The sequence below is a fragment of the Homo sapiens genome, chromosome 2 (genome assembly GCF_000001405.40).
Source record: "Homo sapiens chromosome 2, GRCh38.p14 Primary Assembly".
NCBI classification, from domain to species: domain Eukaryota; kingdom Metazoa; phylum Chordata; class Mammalia; order Primates; family Hominidae; genus Homo; species Homo sapiens.
This window is the reverse complement of record NC_000002.12, coordinates 88977339-89000330: the sequence shown is the minus strand read 5'-3', so window position 1 is coordinate 89000330 and position 22992 is coordinate 88977339. Positions and strand designations below refer to the sequence as shown.

Here is a 22992-nt window from a genome sequence, read left to right as displayed (position 1 = left end):
CCCACTGGCTGCAGAGAATAGGGCATCTGAAAGATCCCCCTTTCACTTCTTAACATCTTAGTCACTGCTTTGGGGAGTCTTACCCTCCTGCCAGTGTGTGTGTGAAAGATTACGTAGGTGCCGAGGAAAAGACTGCAGGCAAAACTGTTTCAGTAGAATAAAGAAAATAGTTAGAATAAGAATAGTCATAACACAAATTAGATATAGAGATGATCATGGACAATTATCAATCACTATTATAAACATTATTAATCATTAGCTTTTAATATTACTCTTTGTCGCATTACTAATATAACCTAGGAATAACCTAAGAGTATAGTGTCAGGTACTGAAGGGACATTGCTAGAAGTGACCTAGAAGGCAAGAGGTGAGCCCTCTGTCACACCTGCATAAAGGCCACTTGAGGGCTCCTTGGTCAAGCAGTAATGCCAGTGTCTAGGAAGACACCCTTTACTTAGCAGACCGCGAAAGGGAGTCTCCTTTCCTTGGAGGAGTCAGGGAACACTCTGCTCCCCCAGCTTCTTGTGGAAGGCTGGATATTATCCAGGCCTGCCCACAGTCATCCGGAAGCCTAAACCATTCCCTGTGGTGCTGTGCCTCAATGGTCACACTCTTTGTCCACATTCATGTTCCTCCCATACTCCGGGTTCCTCTTTGACGTTCGTAGTAGGTAGCGGTAGAAGAAATACTGAAAGTCTTAAAGTCTTTGATCTTTCTTATAAGTGCGTAGAAGAAAATGCTGACGTATGCTGTCTTCTCTCTCTCTGCTTCGGCTACCTAAAAGGGAAGGGCCCCCTGTCCTATGATCACGTGACTTGCTTCACCTTATCAATCACTTGGAAGATCCACCCTCCTTACCCTGCCCCCCTTGTCTTGTATGTAATAAATATTAGTGTGCCCAGCCGTCCAGAGCCACTACCAGTCTCCACGTCTTGATGGTAGTGGTCCCCCAGGCCAAGCTGCTTTCTCTTTATCTCTTTGTCTTGTGTCTTTCTTTATTACAATCTCTCATCTCTGCACATGGGGAGAACCCCCACTAAGCCCCACAGGGCTGGACCCTACACCAGTGGTACTAGCTTTTCGTGGCCCAGTGAAATGTACTCTCACTATGGCTTCATAATCTGCATTGAAGTTGTGTTAGTCAAGGTGCTTCATCAATCTGAAAAGATAAACTTCTGCCTCCAGTTCAAGGGAAGTTGGTGGGCATATGAAATATGCTAGCTTTGCTAAGGGGGATGTCTAGGTGGTGGGGTAATTGCAAAACAGTTCTCCAATGACCCTGGACTGACTTAGTTCTCTCCACTTTCTTGCTTATTTTATGAGTTCTCAAGAATAATTGTAGAATTTGCTGGAATCGTAACATCCTGAGATGGAGAGGAACTGAGCAGAACAACCTACCTGTGCTCTATACCAGTTTCCCATAGAATAGGATGTCCGTTAGCACTTTAGCCCTGTGTGTCTTCTTAGCTCAGGATATAAAACCCTGAGTGGCTGCTTTCCTGGATTCCTGAGCTGTGGTGCATGTGGGGTACACATAGTCAACTCCATCAGCTCCACATGGCTTTCCTGTGCCTTGAGGGACTGACCCATAATAAGTCCAAGACTTTTGTGGTGTTCCCTTGCTGCTTATCTGTAAATAATAAACCCATTTCATGTAACTTGCTGTGTGGGGGTGTTGTGTTCCCCACACTCAAGTATGTTGGTAACCAGTGCAGAGTGAACCTGCTTCAAATATGTCAATGACATAGAGACAGAACTGGAATGGAGGTTGCTGGCGGTAGGGATAGAGGAAATGGGGGGGAGTATTGTTTAAAGGATATAGATATTAATTTTATTCAGATGAAAATGGTTCTGGATTTAGTATCAGTAATAATAGCAGAGCAATGTGAATATATTTAATGGCATTGCACTACACTCTTAGAAATGGTTAAGATAGACAATATCATGTTCTCTGTATTACTATAGCTAAAAAATTGACATCTTTATTATAGTATTGTTAGCTCAGAAGACATTGCTTTGTTTTCTAATTTTCTGAGCAAATGTTCATACATAATCACTTTGTGATGCTATTTTTCACACATTTTAACAAATTGTGTGTGTGTGTGTGTGTGTGTGTGTGTGTTTTGTAGACATGGGGTCTCCCTGTGTTGCCCAGGCTGGCATCAAATTCTTGGCCTTACATGGTCCTTTCTCCTCGGTCTCTCAAAGTGCCCAGGGGCTACTAAGTGTCTGAAATCTTCTCAGGGGAACAGGCTGGGGGACATCTCTAAATTCGCATCCCCTCTGCCTGAAATCCCCTTCCCACCTCCTCTATGGGCACCTCTAGTGTATCTTGTGGGCATCACTGCCTGGAGCATGTCAGGATGTTTTCTCCCATCTCCTACTCTGAATTCATGATGCAAATTCATCCTCACTTCAGACACGGGCTGGCCACGCCTTGTGTCTCTTACCTGCATGCCCCGGCACGTTGCTGAACCCATAGTTCTGACCCCACTCTATGAATCTTTGTGGAAGGGTCATGGTTGGCAAGTTGTGGTTATTGGAGACCAGAAAGTAAAATGGCAACTATTGAGAAGCTTGTGCATGGGGCAGACATAGGCCATTGTCAACAGAGTCCCAGCAGCTGGTGAGCCATGAAAGCTGGGCAGAGATCCCACATCACCCCAGTCAGAGGGGAAGCTGGGAATGAGCCATGGAGGGGCTTCATCCTGTGACAATGCAGCCTCTGAGCCATATATGCTGCTTTGTTTGACAGAAATGACCAGAGGAGGACTTGTCTATGCTGAGCTCTGGAAACAAAACGTCCCTCCATTCAGGGCCCAGACCCACTATCCATTTCCTGGGCATCTGCTGTTCTGTGATTCCGTAGACCCCCCTCAGGTCACTCATGATCCTCAGCAACGGGCAGTTCACTTCTCTCAGCCCAGGGGGAACATGGAAGAGGGTACTGAGCTTTATGACCCTCAGGTCCTGGAGTGAGGAGGGCCATGAGGTGGTGCACCCAGTGCTCATTTTCAATGTTCATGTTAAATTTATTTAAGTTTAAAACTATACCTTATACTAGCAACCAAAGTTATATCTCTTTATATATAAACATGCATCACATATTTATTCATAAATACATAGTATATACAAATATATAAATACAACTTATTTCTTAAATATGTATTCAATATGTAAAGTTCACAATAGAAATTCATATTACAGATACATATAATTTTATGCTTATTTGTGTAGCGTGTGTTTCTTTTCTGACCAAGCAGAATAGAGTCTGGCTGAGTAAAGACTTTAAGGACATTTGCTGACTGTCCGTTTTTGGCTCCAGCAGGGTCCCAGTCATTCAGCACCAGGGAGGGCAGAGCTGACAGCAGCCAGCCCAGGATCCCAGCACCAGCCCTAAGGTCTGGGTCTCTGAGACTTTTACTCTTGCCAGGCTGGGGGATATATGCTTAATGCAGCTCCCCTGAATTTGTGAGCAGTTTCCTTCCCTGAAGCCCTGCCAGGCAGCCCTGTGGCCAGGGCCTGTGGTTCCTCCCAGATTCTCAGCCCTGTGGCTCAGGAGAGCAGCTGCTTCCTCCACAGCCCAGGGCCAGTGCCTGGCATCTCTCAGGCACTGCCAGCCTGACCTTAGCCCTGGGCTAAGGACCCTATTCCAAATGTCTCCTCATTTATTGCAGTATCTGAAAGTCTGTCTTGTTCTTAAACTCAAAGTCCACATTTCCACAATTGCTAAAGCTAGCATTTGCCATCTGAAAATTTAGAAATGTGAATTCATTGTCACTCTCAGAAACTGCCCTCTTCCAACTCTACCAGACAGAGTTGCCCATATGTTCTCTTCTCTCCACACAACTTTACTTAGAATTATAGTGAAATGTAACATGTGGTAAAGCTCTTACCTCCTGTACAGAAACCATCCTCTTCTCCTTTGGTGTCTAGGGCATGAGCTCTAGCCTGCTGGGCATGGTGAGGACAGTGAGCCTCTCCCAGCCCGGGACAGGAGCAGGGATTAAGGCACATGTGATTAGCTCCACAATACAATGTCAGGGGAGTAAAGGAGGGACAGGAACTCTGGGTAGAATTTGATCCTTCATAAGAAGATGGAAGGTGAAGAGCTTTGCTTCACCTTCTAAAATCAATGACTTTATTTTAGATTTGGAAGCAGGGACACATGTTTCATTGCTCTGACACCTTCCACATCTCCTCTTTCTCTTACAATATCCCTGTCCCAGTCTGTCCCTCTCAGATTGTGTCCTGAAAATCTAATTTTCCCTCCTAATATGAAAACAAACTAACAAAACCCTCTTCCTCCTATCATGTGCTGTGAGTTCTGACCCCTAAACTCTGTGATACCCAGATCGTATAAGAGATAATCATGGGATTTTCCAAAGAGAATTTCTAGCTAAAAAGAATTTTTGTACGAGCTCTTCTCTCAGAAAAAATTTTCTCTGTCTCTTGTCTGACACCAGATAACAAGGTGGAAATATTTCCAAGAACAGAGGACAAGCATGCTCTCAGTGAGCTGAAAGACATCTCTTCCCCTTGCATTAGTTTCCAACGCTGCTGTTTAAATTGCCACAGTCTTATTGGCTTCACACAACATAAATGTATTACCCTGTAGTTCTGGAGGTCAGAAGTCTCACTGAGCTAATGCTAAGGTGTCAGTGGGGCTGTAATCCTTCTGGAGGCTCCAGAGGAGAGAACTGGATTCTCTGCTTCTTATCTTCAATGTGCTCCCATATTTCTGGTTCCATGGCCCCTTCCTTCCTCAAACAACATCCGTCCCCATTGTCCCAGCTCCTCTCTGACTGCAATCCTCCTCCTCTATTTTAAGGACCTTTGTGATTGTATTGATTTCATCTGGATAACCAGGAAGCTTATTCTCAAAGTCCTTAACTTACATCTATCAAGGTCATTTTTTGCTATCTATCATAAGGTAGAATCCTTATGATATGGCTCCAATGACTGGAGGAACACCAGGGTTCTTGCTGTTTCACACTGCTTTGGATAAAATGCCACAGAAAGATGTGGAGTGGTTTTAAGGAGAGAAAAGTTTAATATGTAAGAAGGAAGGAAGAATAAAACAGCTAAACAGCTACCCTGTACAAAGACAGAGGGACAGGGGATTCCAACAAAGAGAAAACTCCATCTGTGGTGGAAAAGTGGCTGCTTATATGAGGAGAATGAAGGAGGTGGTGTCTGATTTGCAAAGGGCTCAAGGGATTGGTTTGACCAGGCATGTTATTCACATAGCCTGAGCAAAAACTGGCCCTCCCACCCTAGCCTTTCAATATGCACATGTAGGGCATCATAATGTTCTACACACATGGGGATATGTGGGGGCAGCCATGTTGCCAGGCACATGTAGGGGCAAGGAAGAAGAAGGTAGGAATAGCCATGTTAGGGTGGACCCAGTTTCTAATGGCCTTCATTTGCATATCAAATCTTGCCAGCCTGGCTCTAAGAGCCGGAGCTTTCCTATTAGACAAGAAACATGTCTGGAGTTGCTTTAAAAGAAACAAAATCTTACCAAGGATGCCTTTTCCTCTCTATCTGCCTAAAATAATTTCTTAATAACTCCTATAAAACTTGGGTTCCAGAGACAAGGACCTGGATATCTTTTGGGGTGGGGACATTATTCATTCCACCAAAAATTAATATATTCTCCAAAATTGTCCTTCTTTAAAGTAAAATTTAAAAAATAACAAAGCATTTTTATGAAGCAAGAGGGCGGTACAAAATCTGAGACTTAGAGTCTGACTTATAAATCCTCTAACTTGTGAGTTTTAGCTGTTGGGGTATGCTCACTCCACTCCTTTATCTCACTCCTTTATCTGCTTAAAAGCAGCTTCTCCAGAAGGAAACTGATTGTCAAGAAAATTCTTCCTGGGAAATTTTATATCAGGGAAGATTAACACAAAATAGGAATCAAAAATAGAAGAGATTAGAAGTTGATGCTTTATCCAGACAGGCTATTACCTGTTCTTTTGAGGATGCACTTCTATCCTCATCTATTCTCTCCAGGTTGCCTACACTTCCCAATTACCTCTTCGCTAGAAAGGAAGTATGAACAACTGGATCTCATTGAGTTATCTGAGTAATCACACCGCTATGATATCCCACTGCACTTTAAGTGAATTTTGCTTGCCTTTTCTCTTATTAGTCTTTCTTTTGTCAGTTCATTTTCAGCAAACATTTAGAGGACAAATGGAGCTTTCTTCCCTTCTCCCAATATAAGCAAGTTCCCTTAAAATTCAGGTGGCTTACAAAGCAGCAGGAAGGTTTGTGCATGGGCTACAGCACTGTGATTTGTCTCCCCTAGTCAGGCATCAGTAAAATTTTGTGGAGTCCTAGGCTGCAGCCCACTGATGCTGATGTAGTTGGATCCACGTCCCCTGCTACTAAGCCAGGCTGGGACATTTTTGGCACAGTAGAGATGTGAGATATAATGACTGCAAATCCATGTCCAGTTTCATCTGGATCCAGCTGATTTCTCCATGTAAGTTGGCAATTGCTTGATAAGGGATTGTCTCTTTCCTAAAGATGTTAACAGGGAGGATGGTGTCTGGGTCAGGATGATGTCCCTGATAAAACGTAAAAGAAGAAAGTGGCATTGTTGGTGCATGACAGGGACATGCTCCATGCAGTGGTCACCCTCAATAAGAGAGAAGAACTTTGGAAAGTAATACTCAATGACAGAAAAGAAGGTAGACAATGAAGGTGCCCAAAACAAGAATAAGGTGAAGTGAATTTAGTCTCTGGGTATTAAAGAGACCTGTAGCTCTTGATAATGGTGGATGTGTGAGTGCTGCATGCATTGAGGAAACTCGGTATCATCTCTCTGTATCTGTAGTAAATTGCTTGATCTTATAGTGGTAAGAACAATGGCATAACACCATTACCTAATACTTACAAATATGTATAGCATCATGTCAATAAATTTTATTTTTAATATTTTTAGAAAGGAACAATGTTAAAACTCACAGAAATGTTGAAGTATAGGACAAAGTACCTCCTTCCCTAACCCGAATCATATGAGAGTCTTTTGAAGTCCTGAGAATCATACTGTTTAACATTTTACTATGTATTTCCTACAAACAAGATATTCCAAATAATCCCCATGTGCCAATGAAATACATTACTCCGTCGACTCCTGAGGAATATTTCAAATTTTCAAAAAAATACATAAAAAATGTTTCTCATAACAAACTACTCTCCAGTAGAAACACATTCACCACAGACAAATTTGTGCTACCCTGGTCTTTCCTGGGACACCTGGGGATACTGAGCTGGTGCTGAGTTACTGAGATGAGCCAGCCCTGCAGCTGTGCCCAGTCAGCCCCATCCCCTGCTCATTTGCATGTTCCCAGGGCACAACCTCCTGCCCTGAAGACTTATTAATAGGCTGGACACACTTCATGCAGGAGTCAGACCCTGTCAGGACACAGCATAGACATGAGGGTCCCCGCTCAGCTCCTGGGGCTCCTGCTGCTCTGGCTCCCAGGTAAGGAAGGAGAACACTAGGAATTTACTCAGCCCAGTGTGCTTGGTACAGCCTGGCCCTTCAGGGAAGTTCTCTTACAACATGATTAATTGTATGGACATTTGTTTTTATGTTTCCAATCTCAGGTGCCAGATGTGCCATCCGGATGACCCAGTCTCCATCCTCATTCTCTGCATCTACAGGAGACAGAGTCACCATCACTTGTCGGGCGAGTCAGGGTATTAGCAGTTATTTAGCCTGGTATCAGCAAAAACCAGGGAAAGCCCCTAAGCTCCTGATCTATGCTGCATCCACTTTGCAAAGTGGGGTCCCATCAAGGTTCAGCGGCAGTGGATCTGGGACAGATTTCACTCTCACCATCAGCTGCCTGCAGTCTGAAGATTTTGCAACTTATTACTGTCAACAGTATTATAGTTACCCTCCCACAGTGTTACACACCCAAACAAAAACCCCCAGGGAAGCAAATGTGTGAGGCTGGGCTGCCCCAGCTGCTCCTCCTGATGCCTCCATCGCCTGAGAGTGTTCCTCAGATGCAACCACACTCTGATGGTGTTGGTAGAGGGGGACCTGAAATCACCTCTGCAACCCAATTCCTTTTTCTTTGTAAGCCCCAGCTGCACAGACATAACAATGCCTCTCCTGATTTAATAAAGGCAGAGATCTTGACACCTAAGGAGTCTAGTTTAGGGCTTTGGTTGGAATTCAAATAACAGAGAAGAAACCACTATAGATATTCTAAGCAGGAATTGTCTTAATACAGAAAATTAGAGTCTAAACTACTGAAGTCTAAATAAAATGTAGAGCGGAATCTCTAAATTTCATGTTTTATTTGCAAAGAAATGTTTGCCAAATTGGACACACAGGAAAACTCAGTGGTCTTCAATATATTGGAAGTACGAAGAGAAGGTTAGTGTTTTATGAAAAAGGGAAAATATTACCTTTTGCATTTTCAGAAAGTTCACTGGCACTAGTAAGGGTTGGGAGCTGGCAAGCTCAGACTGGTAAGCAGTGGTGGACAAAGTGAATTAGGATTCACTAATTATATCAATTATATCAAGTTGTCTCAGAAGTTGCAGTTAAATGTGAATTCAGGTTACAAGAAGCCAAAGCAGTGAAGGTTGCAGAGAATTTTCTTACTAAAATGCCAAGGATTCATTGTACACCCTGCTGCTCACCACGCAGAAAGCCAATCTCTAAAACAAGTATTGCCAAGAAACAGGCTTTAATCAGGTACTGCAGCCGAGGAGATGGGACACCATTTGCGAATGTATCTCCCTGACCAACTAAAATTAAGACTTTATATAACAGGGACAAAATGTGGGAAAACAGGAATTTGGGAGGGGTAAGGAAGATAATTTGGTCAACAGGAAGCAAGAGGTCAGTTATGCAATCATAATGGGTGAAGGTTCTGATGTCTCAGTGTCCGGATTCAGTGATATGTATGTTTCAGCTCCTTGATAGTATCTACGAGGCCTGATGGTTGGTTTACTGAAAAAAGAACTCAGATAAGACAAATGTAACTATCTTGAGTTTTAAGACTGGGGGAGTCAATTTCTGTTTATTCAAAAAACCATAAACCTTAGTTCCATGGGATAACAGGGCCTATTTCAATTGCATTCTAGAAACAATATTTTACACCCTGAGTGCCTTTCCCCACTGGGTGTCTTGGCTCTTTTGGGTATAACAAGAATGAACCGATGCCTATGATTAACGTTCAGACTACAACCTTTCAAAGCCAAGGATATAGTAGTCAGGAAAGTTGATATTAGAAGCAGGATTGAATGGCGCTCACTCAGAAAACAGAATGCATCTGCCCTTGAAGTATGGGCTATCTAACCATGTGGTCCTCAGTCCTGTCTGGAAGCTTAGGGGTGGGAGTGTTGATGTTCTCAGCTTCCTGCAGCATCCTTCCAGGTGTTTCTCCAGCCCTCACCTCTGTTCCTGTGTCTGCCTTAGGTACCAATGGAGAATATTGAGTCATCCTTTTCTGATTTCCAAATCTTATGGGAGGACCTCTTGTTGGGCAACTTTATAGGACACAAGAGAGGCAAAAAGGGATATTTACATAAGTTAAAATGATTTTCCCCCACTGAGGCCATTAAAATATATATATACTTAAAGCTACATGTTGAAAACACATCCAGCTTTATTTTCTTATTAATGCAAATTTACATTTGCAAGTATTTTCAGAATTGTAAAAGTTGAAAGCATAATTATTTGTCCATGGAATGATCAAATACCTCTATAATTAAATGGAGTAAACATTTTCTTCAAAATTTGTACTCATTGAAATAAAGGAATATATTTAAAATATGTGAAGCTATGTTAGAAGTTATTGGACTTAAATTCAACTGTGCAGTTTGTTTTGGGATGTTGTTCACTCCTGTGACCTGCCATAAGAATATTGTGTCATGTGTAGTCACTGCTGTTCAGCCTCGTCCTCAGACAATTCATATCTGTAGGCTGAAGATGAGCTCAGTGCCCTGCAGAGAAACCACTCAGCTGAGCCCTTTCTTGATCAGCCAGATGATTGTGAACATGAGCATCCATGAACACGAAAACAAATGTTTACTGTTATCAGCCACTGAGTTGTGGATTTAACCAGTTACCAATCAGTAATGCATAAAAGCTTCCTGATACAGTATTTACACCTCTACCTACACACACGATTTTTTCTTAAGTTGGTGGTATAAATGTGAACATTTAGTATTAAATTATGAAGTTATTAAGAGAAAATTAAAGACAAAATTAAAACTAGTATTCAATAAAAAATTAAAATTTACCTTATTTATGGAAAATGTGCATATATGTATATAAGATACATAAAAGTTACATATATTTATCTGATAAAATGTTGGCTACAAATATACATGTATAGTATTTATATTTAAGTATGTTTATTATATATGCATATTTATACAATTATTTAAATTAAATACATTTAAATAATTTTTGTTATATGCCACTAAAAAAGGGTATGCTGGCTACATATAGTTCATACTCTTGCTACAGAAAATTTATTTTAGCCTTTATTTTTAAAACTCTATGAAATGATTGTCCTTATCTAAAATATTTTTCCAACCCAGTAGAGCTCCAAGGGTAGGACTAGAGTAAATTTTGACTAATGTTGAATATTAACCATTGCATCCTATGAAAGTCTCCATTATGTTCACACCCACAGTGATGATTTGTCAAATAGAGTTCTCACAAATAGATGCTGGATGGCGTCACATCATTGCCATTGTCAAGAAATCCCTGGAAATGTAAAAATCGTAACAGTGGTTAATCTGCAAGGGTTACATCTGATGATAACATTGCAAAGAGAACAGCAATGTAATAATATTGGCTGTTGCTTTTGACAGATCATCAGCCCTTAAAAGAAATGCAACAGGATGATTGCAGACAAAGTGGTTCAGGAAGAACTATGACTAGACGTTTCAAAAATGAGCCAAAATAAAAACATGCTTTCCAAGCGAATATTAATCGAAATGCCGTTAATGAGTAGGAGGCTTTTAATAATGAGGATGATTCAACAGATGGACTTCAGTCAATCACCTTTCCCAGGTTTCCAAGGTGTCTCCTGAACCAAGGTTATGGAGGTCCCTGTGGGGACTCAATAATATGAGTTTCAACTAACTGAGACATACAGGGCTACTGGCTCTTCTGAACACCTAATTTGTCAAGAAGAATGACGTCTCTTGAACCCCTAACATTGCGCCACACATCAGGGCTCAGACTAACAGCTGGTGTCGGGTGATACTAGTAGACCTCATGTAACGTGAGGAGGGCACTGGTTATTTTCCTATATATGAATTTGCCTTCCTTTTTGGTTATATTTCTGCATAAAATATTATTTGAGGATTTTCCAAGAGCTTTCATCAGAGTCAGGAAGTTCTTCTGTAATATAGCTTTGGATCAAGCAACTTATTAACCTCAAAAAAAGTGAAGTGAAGTGTAGCTCATGCTCTTGTCATGTGCTTTCCCTATAGACAGAGAAAAACCCATTATTAGTCAAGCAAAGCTGGCACACAAACCCTTGTGCTATTGAATTGCTGTCCTGTCAGATATGGTGGAGGCTCTGAAACAGTAACTGTATGAATGGTGCTGTCACTCCCATAAACAGAATATTTATATCTTGAAAATGAGCTGTAGACTCATCATTGTTATGCCAAATGAACAGCTTGAAATACTCTATTTCTATTTATTCAGGGCTGTGGTTTTTTGGTTGACGGCTCTTAATCCAAAGAGTTGATGTGAAATTATTCCATGAAATTGGAAGAAATGATATGATAAGCATGTGACCATTTACATTTATTAAAATACTGGATAAATTGTCAAGACAGGGCATTAGCGTGTGTGCTGGGGCCATAGATAGAGTCCATAAAAGCAAGAGCAAACATAATTGATTTTACATATTTTAGAGAGGAAGTACAGAAAATATGGAACCTAGGGGACCTTCTGGAATGTTTCTATTTATTGCCATTTCCACTGGTAAAACTCAGAGAAGATTTCAACCGTCATCAGGACGAAGTTCTAGGGATCACAGTCATGTGAAGCATTCCCTGTACTTGGATCACCAGTGAGGCAAAGAGAAGATGAAACGCATAGTGGGATATGGAGGTGTAAACACCAGGGACAGCATCCTGGTCAGCTTAAACATGGAGAAGTGTAGTTATTTTTTCTCTATAGGTTTATCACTGAATCAGTTGGATCTGAGAAAAGTCATTATGACTGGTTAGGCAGAAAGGTGTTTATTATCATGAATGAAATGGATTGAAAACATTTGGGGAAACCAGAGTGGCAGCTCAGGCAACTCCAAGTACTCCTTTTGCTATTACTTGACCCTCCCCGCCCCCACCCCTATGTTTTCCACAGTCAAGAAAGATACTTTCATTTTGATAGAAACATGGCAAGTGATGATATTGTGCCCAGAGGACTGTGTTGCCTGGCTGTGACCTAGACCAAGAAAATGATCACATTTGAGTGAGTTCAGCCATTTCCCCTCCCTCATCTCAATCCAAAAGCACTCCGTAGTAACACAGCTGATGGGCATTCTTCACCACATCTGGGACTTAGGAAGCCAAGGACATGAGGAGTAGCCTTTCCAGACTCTACCATAGAGAAAGTATTGCCAGAAACTAGAGAATAAAATAAATATGAAAGAAGCTGGTGACAATAACGAAATGAGTCATGCATATATGCATGTTAAATAATTTAATCTTTTCTTTACACCCTTTTGTTAAAAGAATTCGAAGTGCTATTTTTACCAGTCTTTATAGTTTAGCCCACAAATTAATAATAAGTAGACAGATTAACGGCTCATGAGAGAAGAGCCTTTTTTCCTACATGGTGTTGGGCTGAACAGATTGGACTTTCCCCACATTCTGGGGAGCACAATGCTACGTGGGGAGCATGATGTTCTTTGTAAAGGAAATCTTTATGTGAGGTTCTAGCATGTTGCTGTTGATACTAGTAATGACTAGAAATTCGAGTGTAGAAAGATGTGTATTTATGATAGAAAGCCACAGGGTGGACTTGGGCAGAAATAGCCCCTGAATCCATGAAAACAGATGAATCTACATGAGACTGAAATGAAGATGTAATCAACACAGGCAGGTCTGCAGAGAAAGGGGTCAGGTCTCTAGTAGTTGATAGCGGAGCAGCTGTCCTTCGGGGGGCAGTAGTGAGAAGAGCTGCTCTCTTTCCTGCAGGAGACAGCTTGAATGTGGAGTCTCAGGCAGCAGGAGCTCCTCCCCAACCTGCGCCAGCAGTGCCATTCTTGGAATTGTTCCAGAGGCTTTGCCTGGAGCCTGTTGCTTAAGGCTTTTCAACAATTTCTAAGGAATTTAATATCCTCTAGTAAATCCCTTTATGCTTCACGGATTTGACATTTGTAACAGGGAATATAAACAGCTTACAGTGACATCATTCAGAGCCTCCTTTTTTCTTGCTAAATATAATGCTTTCCAGGTGGACTTGCCAGAGGAAGCTGATGTGAACAACAATCCATGTCACCAAAAATGCAAGACAAATAAGCTCAGAAAAGCCACTGGGTTCTCACCTAGCTTCACTGTCCCCTAGGACAAAATGGGAGAGTGTAACACTCTTAGCTCCACCATCAGAGAGAGAAGGTGAAGTGTGACATTCTCAGCGTAGTAAGTGAATATTTACAGACATTTAAATACTAACACCTTTAACACCAAAATACAGGCAAAAGAAGAAAAAATTAAATTGGACTACATAAAAATTTAAAATGGGCATCAAGAGATAAAACCTACACAGTGAAAATGCAACATGTGGAATAGAAGAAAATATTTGAAAATCATATCTGATAAGGGGTTAATAATATCTACTATACAAAAATAAGTTCTACATGTGAACAGTAAAAATAAAATAACTGGTTAAAAATGAGAAAAGTATATGAATAGACATTTCCCTAAAGAAGATACTTTAGAGATATTTAGATAACTAGCATAGGAAACGATGCTCAATATTATTAATCCTTAGAAAAATAAAAACAAAACCCACCTGATGCCTGTTAGAATGTTTTTTTCCAACAGAGGATGACCAGTCTTGGTGAGAATTTAGGGAACTGGAACTCCTGTGGACACTGTCGTGGTGATGTAAATGGCCCACCTGCTGTGGGAAACAAGATGGCAATTCCTCAAAGGATTAAAAATAGAAATACTATATAATTCAGCAATTCCACTTTTGGACATATACCCAAGTAATGGAAGACATTAAATTGAGGAGATATTTGTATATCCACATACAGAAGCAAATTATTCACAGTAGCTAAATGTAGAAGCAACTCAAATGTTCACAAAGGAGGGAACTGGTAATCCAAATGTGGTATATACATACTATTCCATATTATTTAGTTTTAAAAAGGGAAATTCTGACACATGCTACAACATGGATGGAACTAGAGGACATTACACTAAGTGAAATAACCCAGTCTCAAAAATACTGAGTTTTGATTTCACTGTGGTATTTGCAGAACAGTTTCCATTTAGTCATGAATCAACCCAGTCTCCTTCCTTTTCTTGATTGTAGTTTTCAGGAATAACTGTAGAATGTTCTGGAACTGTAACATTCTGAGATAGGGCATGATTGGCCAGAACAGCCTGGGTTCTGTTTCTGTCCCTACTAGAAACAGGAATTCCTTCAACACTCCAGCCCAGTGTGTCATGTGATTCTAAGACATAAAACCCAGGGTAGGCTGCATTCCAGGGTCCCTCAGCTGCAGTCCTTGTGGGGTAGGCACAGTCTAGTGTCAATCAGGCCCCGGCAGCTTTGTGCTCTCTCTGACTGACTCTCTGTAGGTAGTAATCCACTTCATGTTACTCGTTGTGCATGGGAATTGTGTCCCAGTAGATTTGGGTAAGTTGGTGACCAGTACACTGCAAACCTTGGCAAAATTGGTGCAGTGAGATAATTTGATTTGAGAGAACCATGGCTTATTGGTGAAGTTGGAGGAACAATACTCTCCAGTACCTGGCCCAGGACAGAGACATCAGCCTGGGGATGCCAGGCCTGGACATGCAGATGGATGTTTAATAAGGAGGGAGGATAAATGGGACATGGTGAGAGGCAGTGTTTGATGTGGTGGTGAGACAGCAGAAACAGTGGAGAAGCAAGACAGCAAGAGACAGCAAGAGATGGCATTTTGTGAGAAGATGGACATAGCGATCAGCAATGGGCGAGACAGCTATTGGAGAAGTGGCAAGTCAGCGATCAGTGAGAGAGGGCGAGATCGGCGCTACAGCGATTAAAGCTACATAGTTGCTAACATTGCAGAGCTGTTAACACTGGCCAAAGGCTGTTTTAAGAGCCATCATCTTTCCTGACAGGCGGTGGAGCTGAGCAGTTAGGTAAGTGGCCACAGAGCCACTGCTTCATGCAGGCCAGCCGCTCCATGCACCAGTTCACCCGTGGGAGTTCAACCCACCCAAGCTGGGGAGCCTGGAGAGATCTTCACGCAGGCCTCATGTTAGAGACTGCTTGGCACCATTTTGGCTCCTGCACACCTGTAAGTGTCCCATCTACCCACCTGCCCTATGTCAGATGGTCCAGGAAATAAGGCCTTTGGCTAAATAGTCCATTTGAAGTCCCCCATAGCACACCTGACTACATCCTCATTGATCTTTCTCTTAGTCATTTCTCCTCTAATGACATTTTATTTATCCATCAGCCATTTTATCTTATTTTCTGTCCTGATATATGTGTTTGCTTTGCAGTTTTTTCTTTGGGTCCCTACTAATTATGTTTGTGCAATTGTTTAAGGCAGGACACTTGGATGTAAGAATTCTCCTGTTCTGTTGACTCTAAGAAGCCAGAGTCACATTGTTCTATGGCCCCAACCAGGCCTTTGGGGCTCATTGTTGGCCACCCCACTGAGGCTCCAGGATTTTCTGCACTGGTCAGCCCCTGGATACTCCAGGGTTTCCTGGCATTTGGTGTGGGACATTCATAGGCTGATACTCGTGTACTCTGGGTTTTCAGCATTTAGTACTGTTGGCCACTCCCTGGAGGCTCCAGGGTTTTTAGCATTGACATTCATCCGAGGATTGTGGATTGGAGCCTCACCCTATGGAAATCTTGGTTTGCCTTTTCTTGTTTTCTGCCCTAAGGTTATCATTTTCCATAACAGCCTTGTGTTTTCCTTCTGTCACTTTATTTACACTTTTTCTTCTACACTTTACTTAATAAAAATACAGCTTTAAGGCTGAGCATGGTGGCCCATGCCTGTAATCCCAGCACTTTGGGATTACATGCCTGTAATCCCAAGGTGGGAGGATCATTTGAGGTCAGGAGTTCAAGACCAGCCTGGCAAACATAGTAAAACCTTGTCTCTACTAAAAATACAAAAATTAGCCAGGCACAGTGGCATGTACCTGTAACCCTAGCAACTCAGGAGGCTGAGGCAGGAGAATGGCTGAAACCTGGGAGGTGGAGGTTGCAGTGAACCAAGATCACGCTATTGCACTCCAGCCTGGGTGACAAAGCGAGACTCTATCTCAAAAAAAAGAAAAAAAAAAAAAAAAAAAAAAAACAAGTAAAACAAAAAATTTTGCCTGTGATACGATAATGAGTTTCTTTTAAAACTTCTGAGATTAGTGTCTTAGAGATTTAACTGTTGTATTTTGCTGCTTTCAGCTTGTTCTCCCTTTAAAAAGGCCTGGGATCATTGCTGTCTCCTTTTCCTTTTTCATCAGCTCCTGTGACGTTTTCATCTCAACACTTTGGGAGGCTGAGATGGGCGGATCACTTAGGCCAGGAGTTCGAAATCAGCCTTGCCAACATAGCAAAACCATATCTTTACTAATATTACAAAATTAGCTGGGCATGGTGGTACATGCCTGTAATCCCAGCCACTCAGGAGGCTGAGGCATGAAAATAGCTTGAAAACTGGAGGCAGAGGTTCCAGTGAGCCCAGCCAAGATTGTGCCACTGCACTCTAGCCTGGGCAACAGAGCGAGACTCCATCTCAAAAAACAACAACAACAACAACAACAACAACAAAATGATCCCCCAAGAATCAATAATAACCAGAATAAGGAGCCATTATCAGATATTCTTTATTACTCTTAATTACTGTTAGGCTTCAGGAAGCCACTAGTTGGGTACAGCTGCCCAGGATTAAACCTGTTTCTTACAAGGTCCTACAGCCACAAAAGGGGGACACCACAACCTCCATTTATAAAACAGAAAACTTAAGGTTGTTGTTTTGCAAACACATGGATTAATAACATGGTTCCGTAGGTGGACCTAGGAGCATTAATTTTTCCCTCTCTTCCAATTATAATTTTCTTGTTTAACATCCTAGTAAAGTTTATGTCTTCTAAATTTCATGTAAAGATGATACGGTCTGTCATAAGTCTTCCAACCCATTCTGTCTTCTGACCCCACAAATGAATGCATCGTGCCATTGGACCCCTTAGTTCAGGTACCAAAGATTTTTACTCCTCAAAGGCTAGGGAAGGCCTGCCCCCATAAAGTCAGCAGGAAGCACTTACAGAAAAGGGACTCTGCTCTTCTGCAGTCCCCTTAAGATTAAGGAGGAGTATCTAATCTCTGAGGGAGCAATGAGATAGGAGGTAGGTGGGACTCAACCCAGGACCAGATTGAAGACTGGCTGACACAAGGAAGAGACACTGGAAGCACCTGTCCATAACACATGCCCACCAGTGCCATATCAGTTTACCATTGCCATGGCAAAACCTGAAAGTTACTGCCCATTTTCTAGCTATTCCTGAATAACCCACTCCTTTATTAGCATGTCATTAAAAGTGGGGATAAATATGACTGCAAAACTGCCCCTACGCTACTGCTCTTGGCACAATGCCTATGTGGTAGCTCTGTTTCACAAGAACAGACACAAAGCTGTAACACTGCCACCTCAGTAAAGCTGTTTTCTTCTACCACCAGCTTACGCTGCATTCCTTCCTGAGTGTAGCCAAGAACCTGCCCTGCACCACTTTTGTCAAGTTAGTTGACATAAAATTACTCATAATATCCTCTCTTTATTTTTTTACTCCTGTAGGCTGTGTAATGACTTCTTCCTTTCCATTTATGACATTGTGTTTTGTGTCATTTTTCTTTCCCTCTTCTTTTTTTTTGAGACAGATTCTTGTTCTGTCACCCAGGCTGGAGTGCAGTGGTGCAATCTTGGCTCACTGCAACCTCCGACTCCCCAGTTCATGCCATTCTCCTGCCTCAGCCTCCCGAGTAGCTGGGACTCCACCACGCCCAGCTAATTTTTTTGTATTTTTAATAGAGATGGGGTTTCACCATGTTAGCCAGGATGGTTTTGATCTCCTGACCTCGTGGTCCACCCGCCTTGGCCTCCCAAATCTTTCCCTCTTCTTTATACACCCTTCATCAAGTAGTCACAGGTTTCAATTCAGTTCTTTCTTGGTGGTAGTATGGCTCATGAAAAAAGCTGATTCTTCTGTGTTTGAGGCCATTCACCATGTTTATATGTAATACTGTAAAAAGTCCTGTGACATAAGCCTCTGCTTCACAAACTGACCGCTGTCAAACATCATCTCCCCACCAACAGAGAATTTTTTTGTTCCTCACTAGTATAATTCACATAGGAGGAGAAATCTCAAGTTTAAAGTGTGGATTTGCACTTTACCACTTGGTGTATTCAAGAAGATGAATAATATTAATACATCAGTAGGGCCAGGCACAGTGGCTCAATCCTACAATTCCAGCACTTTGGGAGGCCGAGGCAGGCAGATCACCTGAGGTCAGGAGTTTGAGACCAGCCGGGCCAACATGGCAAAATCCCGTCTCTACTAAAAATATGAAAATTAGCTGGGTATGTTGGCACACACCTGTAATCCCAGCTACTTGGGAGTCTGAGGCAGGAGAATTGCTTTAAATGGAGAGAGGGAGGTTGCAGCGAGCCAAGATTGTGCCACTGCACTCCAGCCTGGGTGACAGAGTGAGATTCTATCTCCAAAAAAAAAATAGTAGTTTTGAATTTTAAACATCTATTTGACAAGAAATTCACAGTTCTTTCTCTCTTAAATAACGTAATAATTCTTTCAGTAATGAGCCTGGTTTGATGCCTCTCTCCCCAACATGATACAAGTGTCACATAAATCTATGAAAAATTCAATTTCCCTGTTCCTACAACAACTGTCTGGGATGGAAAACTTCTTCCCTTGCTCTAGTCCTTTCTTCTACACCTAGTTTCACCTAATCTGTGACTCAAAACAATACTTGTCAGGAAACATTCTGGAAAGAGCAAAAGGCTTCTAAGAGGTGTCAGAGATTCCTGGACCAACATCTGTCCATCTCTAGAGGGGGTTGTGAGTATGAGGAAGAGCAGAGCTTGTAAATCTTCTCCTTGCTTTCACTCCCACTGTATTTCCTAACAACGGCAACCACAGCCACATAATATCATAGAACAAGCATCTACTACTTCCAAGGCTTTGGTCTCAGTAAATCTTCTCTACCTCTATCACAGCATCTAGAAGGTTTGATACTCATACAAATAGTGCTGTAGCTTTCTTTTCATAACTGGAAAAGTGGGCAAGACTCAGTGTAATGCAGGCATTCCTTAAGCTAGTTATCATTCAGTTTTTAGATTGTCGTTGCGCACATATACCCAGCATATGTCTAATATACATGTAAAAATCCATGAAGCAAGCGTTATATTAGCTTGTGTTTTCTATTGTATTAAATTTTTCTCTTATATCGTCTTCTCCTTTTTGTCATTAAAAATCTGTTCAAGTCAGTCTAAATTAATTATTGGATCATAAGTAGATAAAATCTTTTATTTCATAACACATTGACCCAATGAATATGTTTCTTTGCAAGACACAATCCTCATTTCCAAGACAACAAGCCTGAAAAAATTATACTGGAGCAAGTCTACAAGAAATGATGGTAGCTTTTCCTTATTGTCAGTCCTGGGGCAAGAATAACATAAAAGATAACAAGGTAGAATAAAGATTACATAAGAAAGAAGGACAGCAACAGGACATGGGGACCGTTTATAGGGTAACATTTAAATAATGGATGATGAGAAGTAATGCGTTAGACAGGGATGGATGGGAATGATGGAAGGTCTGAGTACTTTAGCACAGATTAAGATCAAATCATTAGGATTTTAAGAGTTGTGTACAGTTACTGAAGAAAATGCCTTAGAATTTAATTTGACTGTGGATAAAACATTCTTGGATTAGATTTAAGACTATTTTCCATGCTAAGTATATTTATAATGATGATGACTGTAGTGCTGAATATTTAAACAATGAAAACAAAATTAATTGCCACATACATAATGTCCTGAATACTATTGTAAATGTTTTATCTTATTTTCTTTAAACTGTCTACAGCACTGTAAGGCAGGTACCACTATTGTCACAGTTACACAGATATGGAAACCGAGACACAGGGAAGTTAAGTTACTTGATTAATTTCAAGCAATCGGCAAGCCATGGAGCATCTATGTCAGGGCTGCCAGGACATGTGACTGTAAACAGAAGTTTTTAACTCAAAGAGGGTATGTGTCTGGGTTAATGGAAAGCTTCAGGACCCTCAGAAAACATTACTAATAAGCAAATGAAAGGTGTATCTGGGCCGGGCGCGGTGGCTCATGCCTGTAATCCCAGCACTTTGGGAGGCCAAGGCGGGTGGATCACCAGGTCAGGAGATCGAGACCATCCTGGCTAACATGGTGAAACCCCGTCTCTACTAAAAATACAAAAAATTAGCTGGGCGTGGTGGCAGGCGCTTGTAATCCCAGGCACTTGGGAGGCTGAGGCAGGAGAATGGCATGAACCCGGGAGGCAGAGCTTGCAGTGAGTGGAGATCGCACCACTGCCCTCTAGCCTGGAAGACAGAGCGAGACTCCGTCTCAGAAAAAAAAAAAAAAAATGTCTATCTGGAAGATTAAGTTCTAACAGACTCTTCATTTCCATAGATCCAATAATGCACTTAGGGAGATGACTGGGCATACTGAGGACAGGAAGAGAGAAATGAAAACACAGCCTTTTATATTGTTCTTAACAGACTTGTGCCAAATATCATACGGGTGTATTTAGGTGATTGAAGAGAAGAAAGGCACAGGAGTGAAATTATGTGAGCACAAGGGAGGAGTTCTACACTCAGACTGAGCCAACAGACTTTTCTGGCCTGACAACCAGGGAGGCACAGGACGCTCAGTGCAGAGAGGAAGAAGCAGGTGGTCTCTGCAGCTGGAAGCTCAGCTCCCACCCAGCTGCTTTGCATGTCCCTCCCAGCTGCCCTACCTTCCAGAGCCCATATCAATGCCTGGGTCAGAGCCCTGGGAAGGAACTGCTCAGTTAGGACCCAGACGGAACCATGGAAGCCCCAGCTCAGCTTCTCTTCCTCCTGCTACTCTGGCTCCCAGGTGAGGGGAACATGAGGTGGTTTTGCACATCAGTGAAAACTCCTGCCACCTCTGCTCAGCAAGAAATATAATTAAAATTCAATGTAGATCAACAATTTTGGCTCTACTCAAAGACAGCTGGTTTGATCTAGATTACATGAGTGCATTTCTGTTTTATTTCCAATCTTGGATACCACCAGAGAAATTGTAATGACACAGTCTCCACCCACCCTGTCTTTGTCTCCAGGGGAAAGAGTCACCCTCTCCTGCAGGGCCAGTCAGAGTGTTAGCAGCAGCTACTTAACCTGGTATCAGCAGAAACCTGGCCAGGCGCCCAGGCTCCTCATCTATGGTGCATCCACCAGGGCCACTAGCATCCCAGCCAGGTTCAGTGGCAGTGGGTCTGGGACAGACTTCACTCTCACCATCAGCAGCCTGCAGCCTGAAGATTTTGCAGTTTATTACTGTCAGCAGGATTATAACTTACCTCCCACAGTGATTCAACATGAAACAAAAACCTCAACAAGACCATCAGTGTTTACTAGATTTTACCAGCTGCTTCCTTTACAGACAGCTAATGTGGTGGCCACTCAGTTTTAGCGTCTCTGCTCTATTTGGACATTTTGCAGTTCTAAAAAAAAATCATTGAACAATTTGGACTTTGATTCTTGGACTCTGTTCAACTGAGGCACCAGAATCCCAGGTTTCCAGAAATAGTGACTCACTGTATGAATCCTTATATAGCCTCAGTGGTTCTTAACTTTCCCAGTAGAGGTAGCTCAGTGCATGCTACACTGCTCCATTTGAATTTTGCAACATTCTAAGTAGTAGAAAATTCTATTTATTTATCCAAATAGTTGACTCGGTAAAAGCTGTTCATGTGAAGATACTACCATGGCTGAATAAATCCCATTCTTTTTCTTTCTTCAGGCTATCAACATTTCAGTGGCAAATGGTTATTATGGAAACATTTGCCATTTAAAAGTTAACTAAATTATTTCTTCAATTTTCTCTGTGATGCAGTAGACTGTAAAAAGATTAAAGTTTGTTAAAATAAAGTACATATTCGATAAGGAAGAAATAGATTATTCCTAATGACGTCTGCAATGACCTAGTAGAAAGAGTGATAGAAGCAGTTGTTTTCATTATTTTTGTCCAAAACTTCCTTCCAAATGGGATTTCATTGATCATATTCGTTTATTACCACCTATAAGACATGTTGACATTATGTAACATCTGATGTGAAGCACTGAGGATACATCCTGTCTGTATTATTCTTGCCAAAAATTAATGGTGTGAATTGAATCAGTAGTAAACACCATATACAAACCCAACTAGGAGGACATTCTTCAACATACCTGGACAGTAAACTTCAAATGTTTGAAGGCCATGAAAGAGAAACAAAAGTGAAAAACTATCACAGATTTAAAGATATTGAGGACAGGATAACCAAATAAAATACAGAAACCTGAATTTTATCTTGTAACATAAAAAAAGTCATCAACAGGAAAAATCAGTGAAATCCATATGGTATTTTAAATGAGTTAACAAATAACATTATATCTATGTTCATTTCATGGTTGTGATACTTATACTGTGGTTATTTATGATGCTGACA

The 22992-nt window shown here is 41.6% G+C and overlaps 2 gene segments (V, D, J or C) and 1 further gene, besides 4 other annotated features; 2 read left to right on the top strand and 1 right to left on the bottom strand.

Moving 5' to 3' along the window:
• Window positions 1-22992, bottom strand: part of IGK (immunoglobulin kappa locus) — a 1378008-nt gene that overhangs the window by 1235038 nt on the left and 119978 nt on the right.
• Window positions 7453-7501: a sequence feature (IGKV1-8 leader sequence).
• On the top strand, window positions 7453-7922 carry IGKV1-8 (immunoglobulin kappa variable 1-8). The segment is given in 2 exon segments: window positions 7453-7501; window positions 7627-7922. Coding segments are annotated over 2 exon segments (345 nt in total), but the record flags the coding sequence as incomplete, so codon positions are not given.
• Window positions 7627-7637: a sequence feature (IGKV1-8 leader sequence).
• Window positions 21347-21395: a sequence feature (IGKV3-7 leader sequence).
• On the top strand, window positions 21347-21863 carry IGKV3-7 (immunoglobulin kappa variable 3-7 (non-functional)). The segment is given in 2 exon segments: window positions 21347-21395; window positions 21565-21863. Coding segments are annotated over 2 exon segments (348 nt in total), but the record flags the coding sequence as incomplete, so codon positions are not given.
• Window positions 21565-21575: a sequence feature (IGKV3-7 leader sequence).